Here is a 21,573-nt window from a genome sequence, read left to right on the forward strand (position 1 = left end):
TGAAAGGTCAAATGTGCTTTAATGCGGGGTGGCTCCCAGGTCCTCCCTGGGCCCCGGGGGAGTGGCGCTGGCTGGGCCTGCCGGCTGCCTGGCCTTCCTTCCCGGCTTTCCCTTCTTGGCCGTCGAGGCCTTTCTCTTGCCAGACAGAATGGGGGCCGGGGTGTTGGTGGCAGGGGGCCCCGGGTGGGGCGGCTGCTCCTCGTCGAGCGCCTTGAAGTTGAAGAAGTAGTCAACGTTGGACACGGTGTCCAGGATCTCAGGCACGCTGTAGTCAAAGGACAGCAGCTCCTCGGGCAGGCACAGCGAGCGGATGTCATCGGCTGAGTTCCCACCACTGCTGTCAGGCAGGGCCGGCCCAGGGACCTCGCACAGGGTACCCTCAGGCTCAGAGGCGCCTGGCAGGCAGTCGAAGAGCTTCATGGCGTCCTCCAGCAGAACCTTGTCAGGCAGTGCCAAAGCTCTGGCCGTCTTGGGGGCCTTGGCCTTGCCTGCTCCCAGCAGGGCCCCCTCCTTGACCTCGGCCACCTTGAGCTCGCTGAGGCCCGGTGGGTACAGGGGCACCCCAGGTCGGGCCCCACTGCCCTGCAGCTCCTTGACGGGGAAGGCCAGGGGTTCGGGCCCAGGGAAGTGGCCGAGGTGACCCTGGAGGTGGCTGTAGGCGTCTGGGGGCAGTGTGGGCTCTGCAGGCAGCGTGATGAGTACAGGGGGCGGCTTGTTCTCCTTGGGGGGTGGGGGTGGCAGCGGGGCCGGGCCTTCCTCTAGGGGCGGTAGGGGCAGCTCCACGAAGGCGGCGGGCCCTGCGTCCCCCACAAAACCCAGAGCCTCTGGCCCGGGGCCCTCAGGCGGGAAGTAGGGCAAGAGAAACTGGGGCCCCCCGGGTGCCTGCTGGTAGTGGGGGTATGGAGGCAGCCCCGGGGCCTTGAGGTAGGGCTGAGGCTCCAGGAGGTAGCTGCCTGGGGCGGAGGGGACCCCCGCTGGCCCCCCGCTGCTTGCTGCCAGCTTATACAGGGCTGACTGGCCCAGGTCGGGGGTGGTCCACTCGATCCGATAGATGCGGGGGTCGAAGAAGCACCCGCATGGGGCCATCTGGAAACCTGTGGGCGGCAGGCGGGTGCCCTGAGAGCAGCTGCTGCCTGAGGGGCCCAGCCCAAGCCTGGGGGCCTGTTTGGGAGATGCCACAAGAACCTTGCCATTGGGGGGCCCCTTTGGGGGACGACATAGATATTGCTTTGGGGCCCTGGCTGGGTGATGGATGACACAGAGCTTGTCTTTGGGGCTCATCTGGGGGACCTGTGTGAAGCATGGGGAGCAGAGGCCATGCCTTCAGGCTCCCACTTAGGGACGGGGCAGGGGCAAGATGGGCCTGCACACTCAAACCCACTCCCAGCCTCGTCAAGGGCTCAGGGGAGGCCGGTACCTGCTGGTGGGGCTGGAAACACCTCTTTCTCTGGGTCTGGGGGATGATACAGGTTCAAGGAGCCTGTGGACAAAGGTGCCCAGGTGGGTAGGGCCCTTAGGCGGGTGGGCCCCTGAACCCTCTCCAGCAGGTGCTCCCACCCACCCGATCGTACCCATAGCGGGAGGAGGCTCGGCACAGGTGGGAGCAGGCTGGTTGCCCAGCACCTCAGCCCCCTCCAGACTCTGCGGGCTGAAACCTTCCTGGGGAGCTGCAGGGGCACAGAACGGTTTGGGGTGCTGCATGGGGCAGCGGGGGGCCCGGTCCAGACAGGCCAGGAGGGCGGCAGTGGGAGTGCAAGTGGCCCAACCGGAGAACAGGCTGAGAACCTGGTGGGGTTCTGTTTGCCTGGTTACTCGGGGCAGCGGGTTCCAGCCTGCAGCGCGCCCACTGGTTGGGGTTCTGGGTGTTGGGGGCAAGCAGGGGCAGACGTTGGCAGACATGGTCATCACCATGGGAGGGAGGATTCTGGGCCAGGCCTTTGCCTCTTCCAGCAACACCCCCCTAACAGCTTTGAGGCCGCCTCCTCCAGGCAGGCTGCCCTGATCCACACCCACACAGGCTGAGGCCCCCCGGGTCCTCAACCCGCTACCTTCTTGGGGGTCAAGGCCTCTCTGGGCACCAGCAGCACCCAGCTTGGGGCAGGGCCCATGGAGGCAGCTAAGAGGTTTGGGGAAGGTGGGGGCCGAGGAGGGGCTGCTTCAGGGTCACAGAAAGGCCTGGATTTTAAAAGAATAAAATTTATTGTACTCTCCTCGCCCCAGGGTGCCCCTGGGAAAGCCTGAGGCTACTTGTACGCGTTGGCCTTGTGCTTCGGCAAGAAGGCGAAGCTGGGGGGCACTGGCCCAAGGAGCATCTCGCTGTGGGAGAGCAGGTGGAAAGCGAGGTCAGGCCCAGGACCTGCAAAGTACCCTCCGTGACCCCGGGCCCCCGACTGCAGCTCCCCAACTCCAGCCCACCCAGGCACCTGATGCGGATCCAGTCGGCTGCCTTCTGGCTGGCCATCAGCGTCTCCAGGTAGTCGCGGCCCAGGTAGTAGGGCGGCCGCTCGTTGATCCTCTGTGGGAGCCGCTCCAGCAGCCCCACGGGCACGTACCTGCGGCGGGTGGGCGGGCAGGACAGGCTTGAGTCAGCTCTAACCAGCCGCGGCCCACGCGCCGCCCACCCCAGCCAGCCCCGGTGCCCACCGGCACAGGAAGGACAGCCACTCGAGCAGAAAGCGCCGGGTCTTCTCCACGCCCTGCGTGTCCGAGCCCCAGTGCTCCAGGCCGTAGTTGGTGAAGTCCCGCAGGATGTCCAGGCGCTCGGACGACGAGATGTCCCAGTGCCGCTGCTCCTTGATCTCCGTGAAGAGCCACGGCTTGAGCAGGGCGCCACTGTGGGACGGGTGACGATCAGTGGGCCCAGCCACCAGCCTGCCTGGGATCGTGTGGCCTCTGCTTCCATGGCCTGGCCTGAGCCGGAGCCCAGACCACAAAACCTACAAGCCTAGTAAGCCTCCCAGCTGCATGCACACAACCTTCAAAGCACAGGACTTTCTTTTGTTTTTTCTGAGACGGAGTCTGGCTCTGTCGCCCAGGCTGGGGTGCAGTGGTAAGATCTCGGCTCACTGTTCAACCTCCGTCTCCCAGGTTCAGGCAATTGTCCTGCCTCAGCCTCCCTAGTAGTTGGGATTACAGGCGTGTACCACTACACCTGGCTAATTTTTGTATTTTTAATAGAGATGTTTCACCATGTTGGTCAGGCTAGTCTTGAACCTCCGACCTCAAATGATCGGCGTGCCTTGGCCTCCCAAAGTGCTGGGATTACAGGCGTGAGCCACACACCTGGCCAAAGCCCAGGACTTTCAACCCACAATCATCAGATCCCACAGCAGCAGCAATTTCCAGTCCCCTCTGCCGCAACGCAGCTGCAACTCCTGACATCGCTCTCTGCTCCTCCCATCTTGGGACCAACAGCCCACCACAGAACAGGGGTGGGTGACGGCGTGTTGGGTTCAGGGCACTGCTGCTGTGCATGAAGCTGGATCTCTAACATCCCTGGGCACTTACCGGGCAATCATGATCCCGGTGACACCAGTCTGCATGGCGCGGTTGGCATCCTCAAATGACAAGATGTCCCCATTTCCTGAGGAGACAGAGGCTGGGGTCTCAGGGAGACATGGGCAGGTGGGACCCTGGAGTTCTGCTCACCAGCCCTTCAGGAGTTTTGGCTGACCCAGTGGCTCCCATCAGGGTGGTACGAGGGGGTCCCAAGTGGGAAGGCGAACAGCCCAGAGGTGTGAGTGACCAAGGGTGGTAGGGGAGAGGGAGGTGGCTTCCCGGAACACCCACCGAACAGGGGCATGGGGCTGGCGGCCTGCACGCACTCCTCGATGTACTGCCAGTCGGCTAGCTTGGTGTAGCGCTGCTCCCGAGAGCGGCCGTGGAGCTGGGGGAGAAGCCGCCACGCAGGGTAGGAGGCAGAGAGTGAGACGCAGAGAGGAAGAGACCAAGAGAGCCAGGCTGAGAGAGACAGAGAGAGACACAGGCGGAGACAGAGGGAGGTGTGGAGGTGAAGAGGGAGGGATGGGAGGAGAGGAGCCATTAGGAAGGGACGCGGGGTCGACCGCGAGGCCCCAATGCCCGAGGCGTCCCAAGACCCACCGTGACGAGTGCCACGCCCCAGTCCCGCAGCTCGGGCAGCAGGCGGTGCGCCAGGTTCACACGCTCCTGGACGCCTGTGCGGATCTTCACAGTCAGCGGCACATCCAGCACCTACAGGACGGTGGTGGGAGGTGGTGGGAGATGGTGGGAGGTGGTGGGAGACGGTGGGAGGTGGTGGGAGACAGGGCCCGGGGGAGTTGTTTGGGAGCCAGTGCGAGGATGTGGCTGGCCGTACCTGGTTCATGCCACGGACGATCTGCTGGAACTTGGTGGAGCGATTCATGAGGGCACAGCCCCCACCCTGGAAGAGACAGGCGGGTGGAGGGAGGGCAGGACGTGGGCTGACCCAAGACCCCTCACCCCTGCTGCCCGGAGGCCCCCACCAGGAGACGCCGACCTGCAGGAAAGGCAGGGACTCCAGGGCCACACTTGAGCCCAAACCCCTGACCCTCCACCGAGACATCGCCGGCTGGGTCAGTGCCTCCCTGCCCAGATGGGGAAACCGAGGCACACGTCCAGGGCCGCTACCTTCTTGTACACGAGGTCGATGGGGCAGCCGACGTTGATGTCCACAAAGTCCACCTCCACGGTGCGGCTCAGCAGCTCGGCACACTTGGTCATGGTGTCGGGGAAGGCGCCCTCCAGCTGTAGGTGGGTAGTGGCAGAACAGGAGGGTGAGGGGAGAGTCCGAACTGTCCCCACTTGGCCGTTCCCTCCCCACTGGGGGGCCCTGAGCCAGTGGCCTCCTCTCTCGGGGCCTCCCCGGAAGGAGCCAAGGTCTGTCTGCGAGGCACCGGTCCCCGGCCACGGCCATCAGCCCCCAGAGGTGGATCAGGGCATCACCCCCACTCCACAGCTGAGGCCAGGGGGTCAGGGAGGCAACCAGGGCAGACCTGGAACCTGGCTCTGAGACAGGACGGCCGAGGGCCCCTCCACTCTCCCTCCCTCGGGGTGGGCACTGACCTGGACGCCAAAGATGTCCTCACACTGGTGGCGTTTGAGTAGGGCCCACTCGGACATCTGGCCCTGCAGCAGGTTGGTGCAGACGGCCATCTCTCCACATGTCACATCCGCCCCGAAGCGCTTGCAGATCCGTCGGAAGGGCAGGTTCCCACACTGCGGGGGGAGCAGGACAGACACACATGCTCTTGCACGCGCACACACACACACACACAGCAGAACCCTGAATATGCGCCCCAGCCCCACAATCCAGTAGGTGGGGACAGACACTAAGCCCTGTTGGAATGACCACACTGCCACCCTGCCACCCGACCAGCCACCTGACCCAGGTCCTACCGTGGTGAGGGGGGCCAGGTAAAGTTTGCCACGGATGTCCAGCTGGAGGGAAAAAAATACACACAAGTGGAGCTTGGCCTCCACCCCAGCTGCTGAGGCCCTGGAGCCTCCCTTCTACCCACAGTCTAGGACACACTTGGCCCAAATGGTCTGGCTCCTTTGCTGGGCCTCTGCATGTGCCAATCAATCCCTTCATCAGGAATGTTCCTTTCCTCATCGTCTCCTCCACTGGAGAGCTTCTACTTAACCATCCAAACCCAGTCCCAATGCCCCCTCTTCCAGGAAGCCTCCCACATTTGTCCCCCGCTGCCCGACCCTGACCCTCTGAGACTTAGAGTGTGTCCAGCTCTTTTTTTTTTTTTTTTTTTGAGATAGAGTCTTGCTCTGTTGCCCAGGCTGGAGTGCGGTGGCACAATCTTGGCTCACTGCAACATCCGCCTCCTGGGTTCAAGTGATTCTCCTGCCTCAGCCTCCTGAGTGGCTGGAATTACAGGTGCCCGCCACCAGGCCCGGCTAATTTTTGTATTTTTAGTAGAGATAGGGTTTCACCATGATGGCTAGGCTGGTTTTGAACTCCCGACTTCAAATGATCTGCCTGCCTCAGCCTCCCAAAGTGCTGGGATTACAGGCGTGAGCCACCGCCCCCGGCCCTGTCCAGCTCTTTCTGTCCCCACCTCCTGAGGGCTGGGCCCAGGACAGAGCACAGAGAGGGAGACTCAGCCAGGAGCTCCCTCAAGGCACACAGCCTCTGACTCCCAGGCAGCTAGAACAGGAACGTGGACACAGCTGGTATTTAATAGACGCACACCAGATGGACAGATCTGCTACTGACGTTGTCCTCAACACGTACCCGCTTCTTCTCACAGGGCCGCAGCCTGACCACGTCCTCATCCGTCAGGGGCCCGCAGGTCCGCACGGGGCTGCTGGGAGGGGTGCTAGTGCCCGGCCCTGCGGGGACCTGCTGGGCACCACAGTTTTCCTGCCTGGGAGCGCCCTCGGCTGCCGTGCCCTCGGGGACAGCGGCAGCGGGTGTGGGGCCCTGGCTGAACCGGCGCAGGGCCTGCTCAGCTCGCTCGAAGCGGACCTCGCGCTTCCGCAGCTGCTGCTGCAGGGCTTTGTCCAGGCCGTTGCGGATGGACGGGGGCTGGGTCCCGCGGGCCGCCAACTCCTCCTGCACCAGGTTCTGTCCCTCGGGCCTCAGGTGGGCCCCAGCGAAGCGGCAGGTCACGCCGTAGGGGCACCGGCCGAAGGTCTCGAAGAGCACGCAGCGGGGGCCCAGGTCGGCCGGCTTGGTCTCCAGGTAGCGCCCCACGTCGTGCAGAAAGCGGCAGCGATCACCGAAGAAACACTTAGCAGCCGACTCCTGCGAGGAAACAGGGAAGCAGTGAGGGAGGACAGGGAGACCCCGGGGCAGCCCAGCAGCCAGGGTTCAAACTCTAGATCACCCCTCCTGGCTCTTGTGTCCCTGAGCAAGTCAGGCACCTCACCGTGCCTCTGCATCTCCATTTATACAATGAGAACAATGACAAGCCCTACAATGTATCCCGAGGAGAATGAAGACGGAATGGCATCAGAGCAAGCTCACTGCTCGTTGCTGAAGGCCCAGGAGCTTTCTAACAATTACCCGCTGCCAGGAAACACACCCTGCTCCTGCCTGCCCCGGCAGGAATGCTCACGTGGCCGCACTTGCCTGGATTAGGGAGGGACACAGCCTGTTCTTGTCGTAGTTCGTGGGCTTCACATGGGGCCGGCCCTTGTTTTGTCCCCGGGCCCTCTTCTGAGTCTGTAGCTGCTCCCCGGGCTCTGCTGCCTCCTCCGTCTGCCCGTCCGCCGTCTGTCCATCCTCCAGTCGGATCCGCTTAGCCTCAGGCTCAGCCAGCTCATTGCCAGCAGGGTCTCCTACCTCGGTTTCCCGGCAAGTCTTCTCCTGCCCTTTGGCTTCCAGGAATTGGTGAAACTGCTCCTTGGTGGTGAGGTATCTGCCGACAGAAAGGGAAAGGAAAACCCTCCGAACATAGTCAATAAACACTGGGGAAAGGAGGCTAGAAACACTTGCACGTCCTTAAATCCTTCTGCTGATGGGGAGCTCACTACTTAAGAACCAGCCAGCTCCCAGCCTGGGAGCCCCTCACGGCCTCAAAAAAGACCTATTTTGTCCCTGGGTCCTCACTGTCCAAAGTGTTGCGCGAAACTATTATCAGGTTCAGTCAAGAACGTCCCTGCGCACGTTAGGCTGCGAAAAACTACAATTCCCAGCATGCCTTGAAGCGGAGTCTAAGCCACCACATTTCCCAGCACGCCTTTCGGCCCTTCAAACACCGCAGGCCCCAGCACGCCCCGCGGCACTCGCTTCAACCCCAAGACCCGCCAGTAACGGCCGCTGGCAGAGCACATGCGCCGTACGTCCATATGCAGGGACTACAATCCCCAGTATGCAGCGCGGGCCTGGCCTCAAATCCCACCTGCCCTAGCATGCACGTGGTGTCCTTCGCGCATGTGACAGGCCCCAACGTGCACGATCTCAGGTACCTCCGCTGACCACCCTGCAGGCGGAAGAACGGCCCGGAATGAAGAGCCGGTGGCTTCTCGCCCTCAGCCGCTGCCTAATCTCCCGGCATGCACAGCTCGGACCGCGCTATGGGTGCCGGAAAAGGCCCTTCAGCTTCCCTCCTGCCCCGGCGACTCACTGACGCTTAATGGGCGCCACTCCTCGTTCCAAAGCTCCGGCTCCCGAGTCGCCACCACCACCATTCTCTAGAGGAGCCTCCGCCGTTCCCTCCGCCATCGGCGCCCCTCACATCCGCTCTGGAGTGTGGCGGGAAGACCTTCCGGGTCACGCGTGTCTTCCCTGATTGTGCTGGGGAAGTGCGCATGCTCATGTCGTTCCAATGACGCCATTGCTCGCTCGTGACGCCACGGGGGCGGTGCCTGCACATGGGTGGAGCCTCAGGTCCTATATAAACTAGAGCCTGGCCAATTGCGAACTGGACTGCAATCAGCTTCTGGACTGAGGAAATTTAACTGTTAGGGTGTTTTGGAGGTTTTTGTCTTTGTTGTTCTGTTGAAACGGTTTCGTTCTGTCGCCCAGGCTGGAGTGCAGCGGTACGATCACGACTCACCGCAGCCTCGTCCTGGGCTCAAGCTATCCTCCCACCTCAGCCTCCCAAGTAGCTGCGTCTACAGACATGCACCAATAGGCCTGGATAATTTTTAAATTTTTTGTAGAGACGAGGTCTTGCCAGGTTGCCCAGGCTGATCTTGAACTCTTGGGCTCAAGCGATTCTCCCACTTTGGCCTCCCAAGCATTGGGATTACAGGCGTGAGCCATGGTTCCCGGCCCCTGCTAGGGTTTTTAAAAATGTAAATTAGGGGTCGGGAGCGGTGGCTCACGCCTGTAATCCCAGCACTTTGGGAAGCCGAAGCGGGCGGATCACTTGAGGTCAGCAGTTTGAGACCAGCCTGGCCAACATGGTGAAACCCCGTCTCCACTAAAAATATAAAAAATTAGCTGGGCGTTGTGGCACATACCTGTAATCCCAGCTACTTGGGAGGCTGAGGCAGGAGAATCGCTTGAACCCGGGAGGTGGAGGTTGCAGTGAGCTGAGATCACGCCATTGCACTCCAGCCTGAGGGACAGAGCGAGACTGTCTCTAAATAAATAAATAAATAAGGCCGGGTGTGGTGGCTCACGCCTGTAATCCCAGCACTTTGGGAGGCCGAGGTGGGCACGTCAGGAGTTCGAGACCAGCCTGGCCAACATGGCGAAACCCCGTCTCTACTAAAAATACAAAAATTAGCCAGGCATGGTGATGGGCGCCTGTAATCCCAGCTACTCAGGAGGCTGACGCAGGAGAATCGCTTGAACCTGGGAGGCGGAGGTTACGGTGAGCCGAGATCGGCCGTTTCACTCCAGCCTGGGCGACAGAGCAAGACTCCATCTCAAAAAAAAAAAAAAAAAGTAAATTACACTACTTTTATGCAGGACATTAGTTTCAACAAATAATTAGTTGAGCATCTGTATGCCAGATGCTGTGCTAGATGCTGGGGGCGTGGTAGTAAACAAAACGGAGAAATCATTACCTTTAAGAGCTAACTTGGGAGTCGGAAACACAGACGAAAAACATAATACTCCTCGGAATTTTGGAGATTGGTTCCAAGACCGCATATACCAAAATCCGCGTATACTCGTCCCCCAGTTGCCCAACAGAATCCCTGTATAGGAAAAATCCGCCCTTTGTATCCGCAGGTTTCCCATCCTGCCTCCGCATTTGGTAGGGGTTAAAGAACCCGCGGATACGGATGGCCAACTGTATTTTATTTTTCGAAGGCCACTTATAAGTGGATGGATGCAATTCAAACCCGCGTTGTTCGCGGGTCAACTGTACATAAGTAAATTAAACCGTAAGTGAGTAGGTAATAAAGCAGTAAGGTGGATTGGGAATGCCACCCTTGGCTGTTGGAATTTTTTTCTTTTTTTTTTTTTTAAGAGGAAGTCTCGCTCTGTCACCCAGGCTGCAGTGCAGTGGCGCGATCTCGGCTCACTGCAACCTCCACCTTTCCGGTTCAAGCGATTCTCCTTTCTCTGCCTCCCAGGTAGCTGGGATTACAGACGCCCACTACTATGCCTGGCTAAATTTTGTATTTTTAGTACAGATGGGGTTTCATCATGTTGGCCAGGCTGGTCTTAAACTCCTGGCCTCAAGTGATCCACCTGCCTTGAGTGTGAGTCACCGCACCCAGCCACATTTTAATTGTTTTTGAGAGACAGAGTTTATTTATTTATTTAAATTTATTTATTTACTTATTTATTTTTAAAAATAGACTTATTTATTTATTTTTTGAGACAGAATCTTGCTCTGTTGCCCAGGCTGGAGTACAGTGGCGCAATTATAGCTCACTGCTGCAGTTGCAGTTGTTAACAGGCTGGCAAGGGAAGGCTTCCTGGGGAAGGTCATGTTTGAGAGTATTTGGAAGAGCTGTGGGAGAGAGTTGTAGGGATATCAGAGGGAAAAGTGTCCCAGGTGGAGGCAACAGCCAGTGCAAAGGCCCTGAGGCAGGAGGAAACGTCCTGGCATGTTGGAGGAACATTGAGGAGGCCCATGTGGTTGGAGCAGAGAGTCCAAGGAGGACAGAAGGAGGAGGCCAGGGGAGGGAGGTGAAAAGGTGCAGGTTTTGCAGGACCCAGTGCACTTTGAGAAGGACTTGGTCTTCTTCTACGTGAGTGAAATGAGAGCCACGGAAGGCTGTGCGCCAAGGAAAGCTGGATCTACTCAGCATTTCCCAGCGTCCCCACCAAGCCCTGCTGTGCCCCCTAAAACTCCCTATTCCTGGAGAAGCTTTGGTGTGCACAGGAAATTCAGGGTTCTGGACTCAGCCAAGTTTGAATCCCCGCCCCTCCACTTACCAGCTGGAAACATTGGGCATCTCATTTAGCCCCCTCATACCCCAGTCACCTCATCAATAAAATGGGCCAGATAAAAGTATCTCCCTTAGGCTGGGCGCGGTGGCTCACGCCTGTAATCCCAGCACTTTTGGAGGGCGAGGCGGGCGGATCACGAGGTCAAGAGATCGAGACCAGCCTGGCCAACATGGTGAAACCCCGTCTCTACTAAAAATACAAAAATTAGCTGGGTGTGGTGGCACACGCCTGTAATCCCAGCTACTTGTGAGGCTGAGGCAGGAGAATCGCTTGAACATGGGAGGTGGAGCTTGCAGTGAGCCAAGATCGCGCGACTGCACTCCAGCCTGGTGACAGAGAGAGACTCTGTCTCAAAAAAAAAAAAAAAAAAAGAAACAAAAACAGATGGGGAAACTGAGGCCCAAAGAGGGAAGGGATTTGCCCGAGGCCACAACAGGCTTGGAACCTGCTTTTACAGGACCTGGGAGAAAGTTGAGGGGAGAGCGGGCAGTTTGTCTTCCATCTCTGGCCTTGGCTGCCCTCTGTAGGACAACCTGGGAATAAAACGGTGGAACCCGGGAATCTAAAAGTGCAAAAGGCCGGGCACCTTGGCTTAATGCTGTAATCCTAGCCCTTTGGAGACAGGAGGATCGCTTGAGGCCAGCAGTTCCAGACCAGCAGCCTTGGCCACTTAGAGAGGAGACCCCTTCTCTGCAAAAAAAATGGAAAAACTAGCTGGGCAAGGTGGCATGCACCTGTGGATCTAGCTACTTGGGAGGCTGAGGCAGGATTGCTTGAGCCTGGAAGGTCGATGCTGCAGTGAGCTACGATTGTGCCACTGCACTCCAGCCTGGGCAACAAAGTGAGACCCTGTCTCTAAAAATAAATAAATAAATGGCTAGGTGTGGTGGCTTATGTAATCCCAGTACTTTGGGAAACCGAAGCGGTTGAGTCACTTGAGGTCAGGAGTTCAAGACCAGCCTGGGCAACATGTTGAAACCCTGTCTCTACTAACAATACACAAAAATTAGCCGGGTGTGGTGGCAGGTGCTTGTAATCCCAGCTACTGGAGAGGCTGAGGCATGAGAATCACTTGAACCCGGGAGGCGGAGGTTGCAGTGAGCTGAGATCGTGCCACTCCACTCCAGCTTGGACAACAGAGTGAGCTCCCGTCTCAAAAAAATATATATATACACATAATAAAAATTAAAAATAAATCAATAAAACCAGAAGAAACCAAAGCAGTCAGGGTGAGACTTTTTTTTTTTTTTTTGAGATTAAGTCTCGCTCTTGTTGCCCAGGCTAGAGTGCAATGGCACGATCTCAGCTCACTGCGACCTCCGCCTCCTGGGTTCAAGCCATTCTCCTGCCTCCGCCTCCTGAGTAGCTGGGATTACAGGCACCCGCCACCATGCCTGGCTAATTTTGTATTTTTAGTAGAGATGGGGTTTCACCATATTGGCCAGGCTGGTCTCGAACTCCTGACCTCAGGCAATCCACCCATCTTGGCCTCCCAAAGTGCTGGGATTACAGGTGTGAGTCACCGCGCCTGGCCGGGGTGAGACTTCTTGTCCAGCTGGGCTTGTCCACCATCCAGGGATGGGTACTCCTCCCTCCAGGGGTGCCTTTCCGTTCCCCTCTGAGGTTCTCCCACTTTTCTTTCTTATCATGTCACTACTACCCCAGACAGCTTTGAGGAGACAATTGTCAGATGGCAGAAACTGAGGCCCACAAAAGGCAACCTGAGGAATGTGGCCTCTCTCTGGGCCTCAGCCTTGAAGAAGAGATCTCCCAGGGCTGCCTGGCTGTGCCGTGTGATAACTCCACCTCCTCAGTGTAAGGCAATCCCAGAAGGCTTCCTGTAGGAGGAGGGCTGTGGATTGGCCAATTTTTAAGTATGATATTAATATGAATAAAATAACATCAACTGTTTACTAATATATATAATTTATTATTATTGTTATTATTATTATTATTATTATTATTATATTGTTGTTATTATTTTTGAGACAGAGTCTCACTCTGTTGCCCAGGCTGGTGTGCAGTGGCCCGATCTCAGCTCACTGCAACCTCCGCCTGCCGGGTTCAAGCAATTCTGCCTCAGCCTCCCGAGTAGCTGAGACTGCAGGCGCATGCCACCATGCTTGGCTAATTTTTTGTATTTTTAGTAGAGACAGGGTTTCACCACGCTGGACAGGCTTGTCTGGAACTCCTGACCTCGTGACCCACCTGCTTCAGCCTCCCAAAGTGCTGGGATTACAGGTGTGAGCCACCGCGCCTGGCCATTATTATATTATTGTAGTGGTATAATATTGTTTACCAGTAGCTGAACAATTACTGAACACTTTCTGGGTACCAGGCCCCATTCTAAGCCGTCTTCTTCTTCTTCTTCTTCTTCTTCTTCTTCTTCTTCTTCTTCTTCTTCTTCTTCTTCTTCTTCTTCTTCTCCTCCTTCTCCTCCTTCTCCTCCTTCTCCTCCTTCTCCTCCTTCTCCTCCTTCTCCTCCTTCTCCTCCTTCTCCTCCTTCTCCTCCTCCTCCTCCTCCTCCTCCTCCTCCTCCTCCTCCTCCTCCTCCTCCTCCTCCTCCTCCTCCTCCTCCTTTCTTCTTCTTCTTCTTCTTCTTCTTCTTTTTTTTTCAGAGACAGGGCCCAGGCTGGAGTGGGATCATAGCTTACTGCAGCCTCGAACTCCCAGGGTTAAGTGATCTTCCTGTCTTAGGGTTAAATGATCTTCCTGTCTTAGCCTCCCAAGTAGCTCAGACTACAGGCTCATGCCACTTTGCCTGGCTAAATTTTCTATTTTTCCTATAGATGGGTTCTTGCTGTGTTGCCCGGGGTGGTCTTGAACTTCTGGCCTCAAGCAATCAAGCAGAAAGAGTTGGAGGCCGGAGCCAGGCGCGGTGGCTCATGCCTGTAATCCCAGCACTTTGGGAGGTCGAGGTGAGCGGATCATGCGGTCAGGAGTTCGAGACCAGCCTGGCCAACATGGCAAAACCCTGTCTCTACTAAAAATAGAAAAATTAGCCGGGCATGGTGGTACGCACCTGTAGTCCCAGCTACTCAAGAGGCTGAGAGAGGAGAATCCCTTGAACCTGGGAGGTGCAGGTTGCAATGAGCCGAGATTATGCCATTGCACTCCAGCCTGGGCAACAGAGCAAGACTCCCTCTCAAAAAAAAAAAAAAAAAAAGTTGGAGGCTGGGTGTGGTGGCTCACGCCTGTAATACCAGCACTTTGGGAGGCCAAGGCAGGCAGATCACAAGGTCAGGAGTTCGAGACCAGCCTGGCCAACATAGTGAAACGCTGTCTCTACTAAAAATACAAAAATTAGCCGGGCATGTTGGCGTGCACCTGTAGTCCTAGATACTTGGGCAGCTGAGGTAGGAGAATCACTAGAACCTGGGAGGCAGAGGTTGTGGTGAGCCAAGATCATGCCACTGCACTCCAGCCTGGGCAACAGAGCAAGACTCCGTCTCAAACACACACACACACACACACACACACGCAAGACTCCGTCTCAAACACACACACACACACACACACACACACACGACAAAAATTAGCCGAGCGTGGTGGCACACCCCTGTAATCCCAGCTATTTGGGAGGCTGAGGCATGAGAATCACTTGAACCTGGGAGGTGGAGGCTGCAGTGAGCTGAGATCGGGCCACCGCACTCCAGCCTGGGTGACAGAGCTAGACTATGTATTGAAAAAAAAAAAAATACCTCCCTGACTGTCCCCTGCTCAGGGTGGGTTCAGTACCCACTTTGGGCTCTGCAGCTTTCTTTCTTTTTCTTTTTTTTTTTTTTTTTTTTTAGACAGAGTCTCACTCTGTTGCCTAGGCTGGAGTGCGGTGGTGCAATCTCAGCTCGCTGCAGCCTCTGCCAACCAGGTTCAAGTGATTCTCCTGCCTCAGCTTCCCTAGTAGCTGGGATTACAGGTGCATACCACCACGCCCAGCTAATTTTTGTATTTTTAGTAGAGATGGGGTTTCACCATGTTGGCCGGGCTGGTCTCCAATTCCTGGCCTCACATGATCCGCCCACCTCGGCCTCTCAAAGTGCTGGGATTACAGGCATGAGCCACCGCGCGTGGCCTGGGCTCTGCAGCTTTCTGAATGGCCCCCCATCAGGGCCCCGGCAGGACTGGGGATGCCTGGCCACATGCCCGTCTTTCCCACTGGACGATGAGCCCAGAGAGGGTGGGAAACGGGCTTAGCTTAGTCCCTCTGTGTCCCTAGCGCCCAGCACAGGGTCTGGTACACAGGAGGTGCTCCGTGGACACTTGCCGAGTGAATGCGTCTTACCATGACTGGGGAAACTGAGGCACAGGGGTGCAGAGCCTGCCCTAGAGAATCCCACCTTCACTGAGGCTGAGGGAGGGGGCTGAGGGCTTCCCAAGGGCCCTGGCTCAAGCTATTGGTGTCACTGTACAGTGTGTGGGGACACTGAGGAATATGCCCCCCGATCCTGGACCAGGCCTGGACTGTCCTTGACTAACCTGGAGGAGGCAGGATGGAGGTTGGTGGTCCTGGGGCCCCTGAGCAGGTGGGGAGACTGAGGCACCCAGGTAGGGGTGGAGCAGGGCCTGGGGACTCAACTGGTGGTTCTTTGTTTAGTCGCCAGCTGGTTGTTCTTTGTCTCTCTTTCTCTCTCTCTCTCCCCCTTATCCTTCCTTCCTTCCCTCCCTCCCTCCTTTCTTTTCCTTCCTTCCTTCCTTCCTTCCTTCCTTCTTTCTTTCTTATTATTATTACTATTTTTCGAGACGGAGTCTCGCTCCATCGCCCAGGCTGGAGTGCAGTGCCGTGATCTCGGCTCACTACAACCTCCTCCTCCCAGGTTTAAGCGATTCTCCTGCCTCAGCCTTCTAAGTAGCTGGGCTGACAGGTGCCCGCCACCACGCCCAGGTAATTTTTTGTAGTTTTAGTAGAGATGAAGTTTCACCATGTTGGCCAGGCTGGTCTCAAACTCCTGACCTCAAGTGATCCACCCACTTCGGCCTCCTAAAGTGCTAGGATTACAAGCATGAGCCGCCGTGCCCGGCCACTGTTTCTCTCTTTTTTTTTAGAGACAGGATCTTGTTCTTCCACCCAGGCTGGAGTGCAGTGGCATGATCTCGGCTCAATGCAGCCTCAACCTCCTGGGCTCAAGTAATCCTCCCGCCTCAGCCTCCCAAGTCGCTGGGACCGCAGGCGCCCACCATCATGCCTGGCTAATTTCTGTATTTTTTGTGGAGATAGGGTCTCGCCATGCTGTCCTGGCTGGTCTCAAACTCCTGGGTTCAAGCAATCCTCCCACCTCAGCCTCCCAAACTGCTGGGATTACAGGCATGAGCCACTGTGCTCAACCTATTCTTCCTGTTTCTAACTCAGAAAACATTTCTAGTTCTTTCTGTATTTCCTTCTCTCTGTGACCCTCTCGAATCTCTCGAATTTTTCTCTGCATCTCTCCCTCTCTCTCTCTCTAGTTCCCCCTCCCTCCATGCTCCTCAGTCTCTCCCCCACTCTGTGTCCCCCTCTTGCCCTCTCCGCAGCCCTCTCGCCCAGGCCGGATGGGGGTGGCAGCAGCAGGGCAGGTGCGGCCCCGGGCTCAGTGCCCGATGCTGCCGCGGCCGCCCCGGATTTGTGGCTGCGACTCCTTTATCTGTGGCTGCAGCTGCTCCTTATCTCCTGGCTTCAGGACAGGAGCCTGGGATTAGGGCAGCCCGGGCCAAGGACGCGAGATGGCAGGGCAGGCGGGTGGGCGGGAGGTGGCAGAGAGCGGGGGAGCCGGGTGCGAGCGCATGTCCCTGAGTGTGTGTGCATGTGGGAGCCAGACTGCCGTGGATGCATGACTTGGGGGAGGCCTGTGTGTGTGCCATTGTGTGTCTGCGTGATTGTGTGTCTGTCTAGTGTGTTATGAAGGTGCATGAGGGATTGTGTATATACCTTGGTGGCTGTGGCCTATGTATGACTCTGTATGTGTGTGTCTGTGTGTTTGTGTGTGGGTATGCATGAATGTTGGTGCCACTGTGAGTTCCTGAGAAGAGCCACTCAGCCACTGCTATGTCCCACACGAGACCGCACAACCCCAGCCCAGCTCCCTGCTTGCACAACCTTGCTCCTGAGACTCTATTCCCCTGCCCTGGCCTCCTTGGTGGGCCTGATGGTTTTCCCACCTTGCTGACCTAAGGCCCCCAGGGACGGGCCCCTTGACCTGCGACCTGTGGCTGTAAATGGTCCTGTGGGGACAGCTGCTGGCCCTGTTTTCACCATCCTCACCTGGAACGGGCCGGCCCCTTCCTGCCACCCACAGGCCTTGTGGGTCCCATCCCCGCCTGGCGGGCTCCTAACCCAGCTCCCGGGGACCTTGCTCCGGGCCAGCCTGACCCCCGCCCGGGAGTGTGTCTCCAGCTCTGTGTCCTCTGCCTGAGCTGAGGCCTCTGTGTGTGCTCGGCATGGGTTGGGCCTGGGGTGAGAGTGACCGTTGAATCAGTAGCCCCAAAACATCGTTTCTGGGGAGCCCTCAGCTGTCCCAGTGTCCTGGGTAAGTCCCTTTCCCTCTCCACGGGAGAATGACAGCACCCACCTCTGGTAACATATTACATGCCCAGTGCTGGGCACAGAACAAACGTGGGAGCCATTTGGCAGATGGGGAAACAGACCCCATAAGCTCAGTCACCAACACACTGGAGGCTGGGGTGGTGCCCAGTGTGCTGGGATGGCCAGTGCTCCAGCCAGGGGACACAGTGGGCATCCAGCCACCTCCACCCCCACAGGGCTGGTCCCCGGGGGTCCTGAGGTGCAGCCCAAGCCCCCAGAACCTGGCCCAACTCCTGGCGCTAAGATGGAAACTTCTCCAGCAGCCAAGTCTGAGTCTTGGCCAGCGGCCCCCGGCCTCCCAGAACCTCTGCCCTGGAGTCTCCACCCAAGAACAGATCACTCCCTTTGGGAGCAGTGGCCTCCTGGGGAGGGCAGGGGGCCAGCCTCCGGGAGGACAGGGGTGGAGCGTGGTACAGTCATCCAGCCCCACTTTGCAGCTTTTTCCTTACTTGTGACCTTAGGTTAGTGGCTTGACCTCTCTGATCCCTGAGTTTCACAACCACCACGTGGGCAGAGAGCAGGTGGAGGTGGGGTGAGTGTTGCAGGGAGTGGAGGCAGTGAACGAGCAGAACTAATTTCCAGGCAAACACCAGAAAGGGCAGGCAGGCTTTGGGATATGGTTTTCAGCCACCGCTGCACGGTTCCACCCCTGCCTCGGCCTTGACCCTGATGCCAGCAGGCTTGAATCAGTCAAAGAGGTCAGCTGCCTGGGCCAGACACGGTGGCTCATGCCTGTAATCCGAGCACTTTGGGAGGCTGAGGTGGGAGGATTGCTTCAGCCCAGGATTTGGAGACCAGCCTGGGCAACACAGCAAGACCCCATCTCTCTAAAAAATTAAGAAATTAACTGGGTGCGGTGGTGCACATCTGTAGTCCCAGCTACACGGAGGCTGAGGTAGGAGGATCGCTTCAGCCCAGGAGGTCAAGGCTGCAGTGAGCTATGATGGCGCCACTGCACGTCGGCCTGGGTGACAAAGTGAGACCCTGTATCCAGAAAGAAAGAAAGAAAACAAAAGGTCAGGTGCCTTCCTGCTCCTCTCTGAGCCTCAGTTTCCCCATATCTGTGCTCTGGGAAGACCACAGATCCTACACACAGGCTGCACTTGAAGAAAGAGAGGCTCAGTACTTGGCGACATCCGGCCCGCCCTGCGGCAGCCCAAGTCTGGGACAAAAAAGATTTAAAAATAAAGCATTGTAAATACCCTTGTTTCCTGCAAATAGAGCCAGCCTCTGAGTTCCCTGGCCTCCCGGGCAGCCAAGCCCAGACAGTTTCTTGGAAAGGGGTGGAATTCAGAGGGCTGTTTTTTGTTTTTTTTTTGGGGGGGGGGGATCAGGGTCTCGCTCTGTCACCCATGCTGGAGTGCAGTGGTATGATCATAGCTCACTGCAGCCTTGACCTCCTGGGTTGGGGTCCTTCTGCCCCAGCCTCCCAAATAGCTGGAAATATAGGCGTGCACCACCACGCCCAGCTAATTTGAAAAAAGTTTTATTTTGTAAAGATGGGGGTCTCCGGATGTTGCCCAGGTTGGTCTCGAACTCCTGGCCTCCATTGATCCTCCTGCCTCAGCCTCCTAAAGCCCTGGGATTTCAGGCATGAGCCACTGCACCTAGCTCACAGAGGGGTGTTAATGGAGAGTCCTGGTCCCTGGGTTCCTTTCTGGGATAGGGGGTGGAGGGATCCTGGAGGGGCCCGTGTGTCCCTGTGCACCTCAGTTCCCGGCTTTGGTGTGGGTCAGCGAGTGTGACAGGGTGTCTGTCACCGCCTGTCACAGGGGGTGAGATAGCATGTGGGTTGGTGACAGAGAGAGTGTGCGGGTGATTTGGGAGGGTGTCAGGATGGAAGGAACTGTGTTCCTGGTGTGACCACATGGGGCTGAGCAAGGCAGGGTCTCCGTGTCCCCCGGTGCGACGGGGTCTCCAACCACGTGTGTGGTTGTTTCAGCGTGTGTGTCCCTGAGTGGAATGGCTGTAGCTGGGCGTAGGTCCTCGCGTCCCCACCTCCTGCGCCCCGCCCCGCCCCCTACCTTGGACACGCCCCTAGCGTCTCCCCCCAATCCCAGAGGAAGAACCAACTCTTTCAAGTCGCTGTTGCCGGGGCAACCGTTTTACAAGCGTCCACATGGTGGGCACATGTGTGTGTGTCCTGCGCCCCATGTGTCTGCTCGGCCCCCGCCCCCATGGCCCCCAGCCGCGGCGGGGAGGGGGCACAGGCGGTGTGGGGTGAGCGGGAGGCAGTGGAGGGGCAGCTGGTGACAGCTTAATGATGGAGGGCTGGGGTGGGGGTGGGCTCCTGGCCCTGCTGTGTGTGTGCAGGGGTGGCTGTGCCTTCCAGACGGGGCCCGGGGTGTATGTGTGTGTCTGTGTGTGTGTGTGGGTGTGTGTGTGTGTACTAACCAGTGCCAGGCAGCGTGGGGGTGTGTAAGGATCTGCTGAGAGTGTGTGTGTGTGTGTGTGTGTGTGTGTGTGTCGGGCTGAGTGAACCCCGGGTCTGTGGGCATGAGTGCATTCAGAAGGGCGTGGGGTAAGGAAGGACCCCCGCAGGAGAGTGTACGCGTGACCTTGTGAGATACTCGTGGAGGGGTTGTGTCAGCGTGTGTCTGCGTGTGAGGACCCGGGGGTGGGGCGGGGTGTGACAGTGCAGGAGTGTCTGTGCTCACTAGGGCGTCTAGGTTTGTGTGAGAAGGAAAGATAGGCCGGGCGCGGTGGCTCACGCCTCTAATCCCAGCACTTCGGGAGGCCGAAGCGGGCGGATCACGAGGTTAAGAGATCGAGACCATCCTGACCAACATGGTGAAACCCCTTCTCTACTAAACTGGGCGTGGTGGCGCGCGCCTGTAGTCCCAGCTACTTGGGAAGCTGAGGCAGGAGAATCACATGAACCCAGGAGGCGAAGGTTGCAGTGAGCCGAGATTATGCCATTGCACTCCAGCCTGGGCAACAGAGCAAGACTCCGTCTCAAAAAAAAAAAAAAAAAAAAGAGAGATGGCAGGGGGGGTGACCCCACCGGGAATAAAGGTTTGAGGGTGTGTGTTTGAGGTTAGGGTATGTGTGTCACTGGGAGTGGGTTTCTGGGAGTGAACATTTGGGAACACTAGTAATGGCAGACATTGGGACATCACCCCCAACTTGCCAGGCTTACTCACTTACTTATTCACATTTACTCATTACTTATACAAGCTTGTTCACACTCATTCAGTCCTTACTAGAACACAGTGAAGATCTACTAGTAATACCCTGTTACAAGTGGGGAAACTGAGGCACGGGGGGGAAGGCCCAAGGCCACACAGAACACAGATCCCTGTTAACTTCCATCCTAGATCTGGGAACAGGCTGCCACTTCTCTGACATAGGTCCGTTCTCTCGTCCCCCCACCCACAACTCACATTCCAGCACGCACCCCGCGCACGTGCACAGCACCGCGTGCATCAGCCCGCGTGCAGCAGGAGGCGAGGCTGCGTGAGTGTCCCCATCACCGCGCGCACTGCGCGGCCCCGCAAGTTTTACAGGCGCTTTGTGGGGACGTGCATATGTTGGGGTTAGGGATCTTCTAGGAAGGCCTAATCTGCATGCGAACCCCCAGGCTGCTGGAATCAGAAACATGCAGGCAGCCAGGGCCGGAGTGAGGAGGAGGCCCCAAGAACCTCAGCGGCGGGAGCGAGAAACCAGAGCACGGGGGCTCCAAGAACGCAGGCGGCGCGGGGAGGAGTCTGCAGGGCGGGAGTTTTTCGGTCACCCCGCGGGGCGGGGGCGGGGCCGCAGCAGTCCCAGCCCAGCTCAGCCATCCCAGTCCCGTCCCCGAGTTAGCCCGGCGCCGCCAGGGAGCGCTGTGGGAGCGCGGAGCCGTCGGGGAGGAGCCCGGGTGGGTTTGGGCTCCCCTGCCCGTGAGCCTTGGTGCCAGGAGGGGGCGCCGGCGGGAGCTAGGAGCGAGAAATCCCCTGCAGGGCTCTGAGGCCGCACTGGGGGACTTACTGCTTGATGGGGGGCGCTGAGGACAGCGGGTGTCGTCATCCGTCCGAGGGGAAGACTTTGCGTCTCAGTTCCCTGGAAGAGCTTTCTTGGGAGGGGGCTTCTTCAGCTTCTGGGGAAGGAGAACCTGGGACGAGATTGGAGGGGGACACCCCAATCCTCAGTGGGGTGGGGGGAGCTGTATGCGGGGGCCACAGCTGTTGGGGTGTGGGCCATGGGTCTTAGTTCGCCAGAA

At 57.8% G+C, this 21,573-nt stretch overlaps 2 protein-coding genes across 6 annotated transcripts, besides 3 other annotated features; both read right to left on the reverse strand.

Moving 5' to 3' along the window:
• On the reverse strand, positions 1–1,787 carry PRR22 (proline rich 22). Its single transcript, NM_001134316.2, has 3 exons — positions 1,572–1,787; positions 1,418–1,480; positions 1–1,094 (listed from the first exon to the last, which is right to left on the reverse strand). The coding sequence occupies exons 1-3, from the start codon at positions 1,699–1,701 to the stop codon at positions 19–21; spliced, it is 1,269 nt and encodes a 422-aa protein (NP_001127788.1). The 5' UTR covers positions 1,702–1,787; the 3' UTR covers positions 1–18.
• Positions 1,788–2,180: 393 nt separating this feature from the next.
• Positions 2,181–8,204, reverse strand: DUS3L (dihydrouridine synthase 3 like). Of its 5 annotated transcripts, NM_020175.3 has the most exons (13): positions 8,085–8,204; positions 7,088–7,376; positions 6,248–6,760; positions 5,398–5,439; positions 5,065–5,217; positions 4,630–4,746; positions 4,337–4,402; positions 4,102–4,212; positions 3,790–3,886; positions 3,508–3,583; positions 2,644–2,832; positions 2,424–2,552; positions 2,181–2,316 (listed from the first exon to the last, which is right to left on the reverse strand). In NM_020175.3, the coding sequence occupies exons 1-13, from the start codon at positions 8,180–8,182 to the stop codon at positions 2,244–2,246; spliced, it is 1,953 nt and encodes a 650-aa protein (NP_064560.2). In that variant the 5' UTR covers positions 8,183–8,204; the 3' UTR covers positions 2,181–2,243. The 5 variants fall into 5 exon arrangements, 4 of the variants coding, with proteins under 4 accessions (NP_064560.2, NP_001155091.1, XP_016882509.1 ...); NM_001161619.2 differs by lacking the exon at positions 6,248–6,760 and having other exon boundaries at positions 7,301–7,376; XM_017027020.2 differs by lacking the exon at positions 5,398–5,439.
• Positions 7,927–8,386: an enhancer, noted in NCBI's record as "active region_13816". NCBI's record gives its function as "activates an Ori minimal core promoter by ATAC-STARR-seq in GM12878 lymphoblastoid cells {active_cell/tissue: GM12878}" and the evidence as "EXISTENCE:reporter gene assay evidence [ECO:0000049][PMID:35858748]".
• Positions 20,999–21,293: an enhancer, noted in NCBI's record as "tiled region #11822; K562 Activating DNase matched - State 1:Tss". NCBI's record gives its function as "activates a minimal TATA promoter and a strong SV40 promoter by Sharpr-MPRA in K562 cells {active_cell/tissue: K562}" and the evidence as "EXISTENCE:reporter gene assay evidence [ECO:0000049][PMID:27701403]".
• Positions 20,999–21,298: a silencer, noted in NCBI's record as "silent region_9933". NCBI's record gives its function as "represses an Ori minimal core promoter by ATAC-STARR-seq in GM12878 lymphoblastoid cells {active_cell/tissue: GM12878}" and the evidence as "EXISTENCE:reporter gene assay evidence [ECO:0000049][PMID:35858748]".

The sequence above is a fragment of the Homo sapiens genome, chromosome 19 (genome assembly GCF_000001405.40).
Source record: "Homo sapiens chromosome 19, GRCh38.p14 Primary Assembly".
Lineage (NCBI taxonomy): Eukaryota > Metazoa > Chordata > Mammalia > Primates > Hominidae > Homo > Homo sapiens.

Excerpts from the sequence above, each read along its gene's own strand:
- DUS3L (NM_020175.3), bottom strand. The coding sequence starts at position 8,182 with ATGGCGGAGGGAACGGCGGAGGCTCCTCTAGAGAATGGTGGTGGTGGC. Across the intron at positions 2,553-2,643 it reads TGGCTGTCCTTCCTGTGCCG|GTACGTGCCCGTGGGGCTGC; the intron begins GTGGGCACCGGG and ends CACCCGCCGCAG. Across the intron at positions 2,317-2,423 it reads GCCGACTGGATCCGCATCAG|CGAGATGCTCCTTGGGCCAG; the intron begins GTGCCTGGGTGG and ends GCTCTCCCACAG.
- PRR22 (NM_001134316.2), bottom strand. The coding sequence starts at position 1,701 with ATGCAGCACCCCAAACCGTTCTGTGCCCCTGCAGCTCCCCAGGAAGGT. Across the intron at positions 1,481-1,571 it reads CGAGCCTCCTCCCGCTATGG|GCTCCTTGAACCTGTATCAT; the intron begins GTACGATCGGGT and ends CTTTGTCCACAG. Across the intron at positions 1,095-1,417 it reads GTTTCCAGCCCCACCAGCAG|GTTTCCAGATGGCCCCATGC; the intron begins GTACCGGCCTCC and ends TGCCGCCCACAG.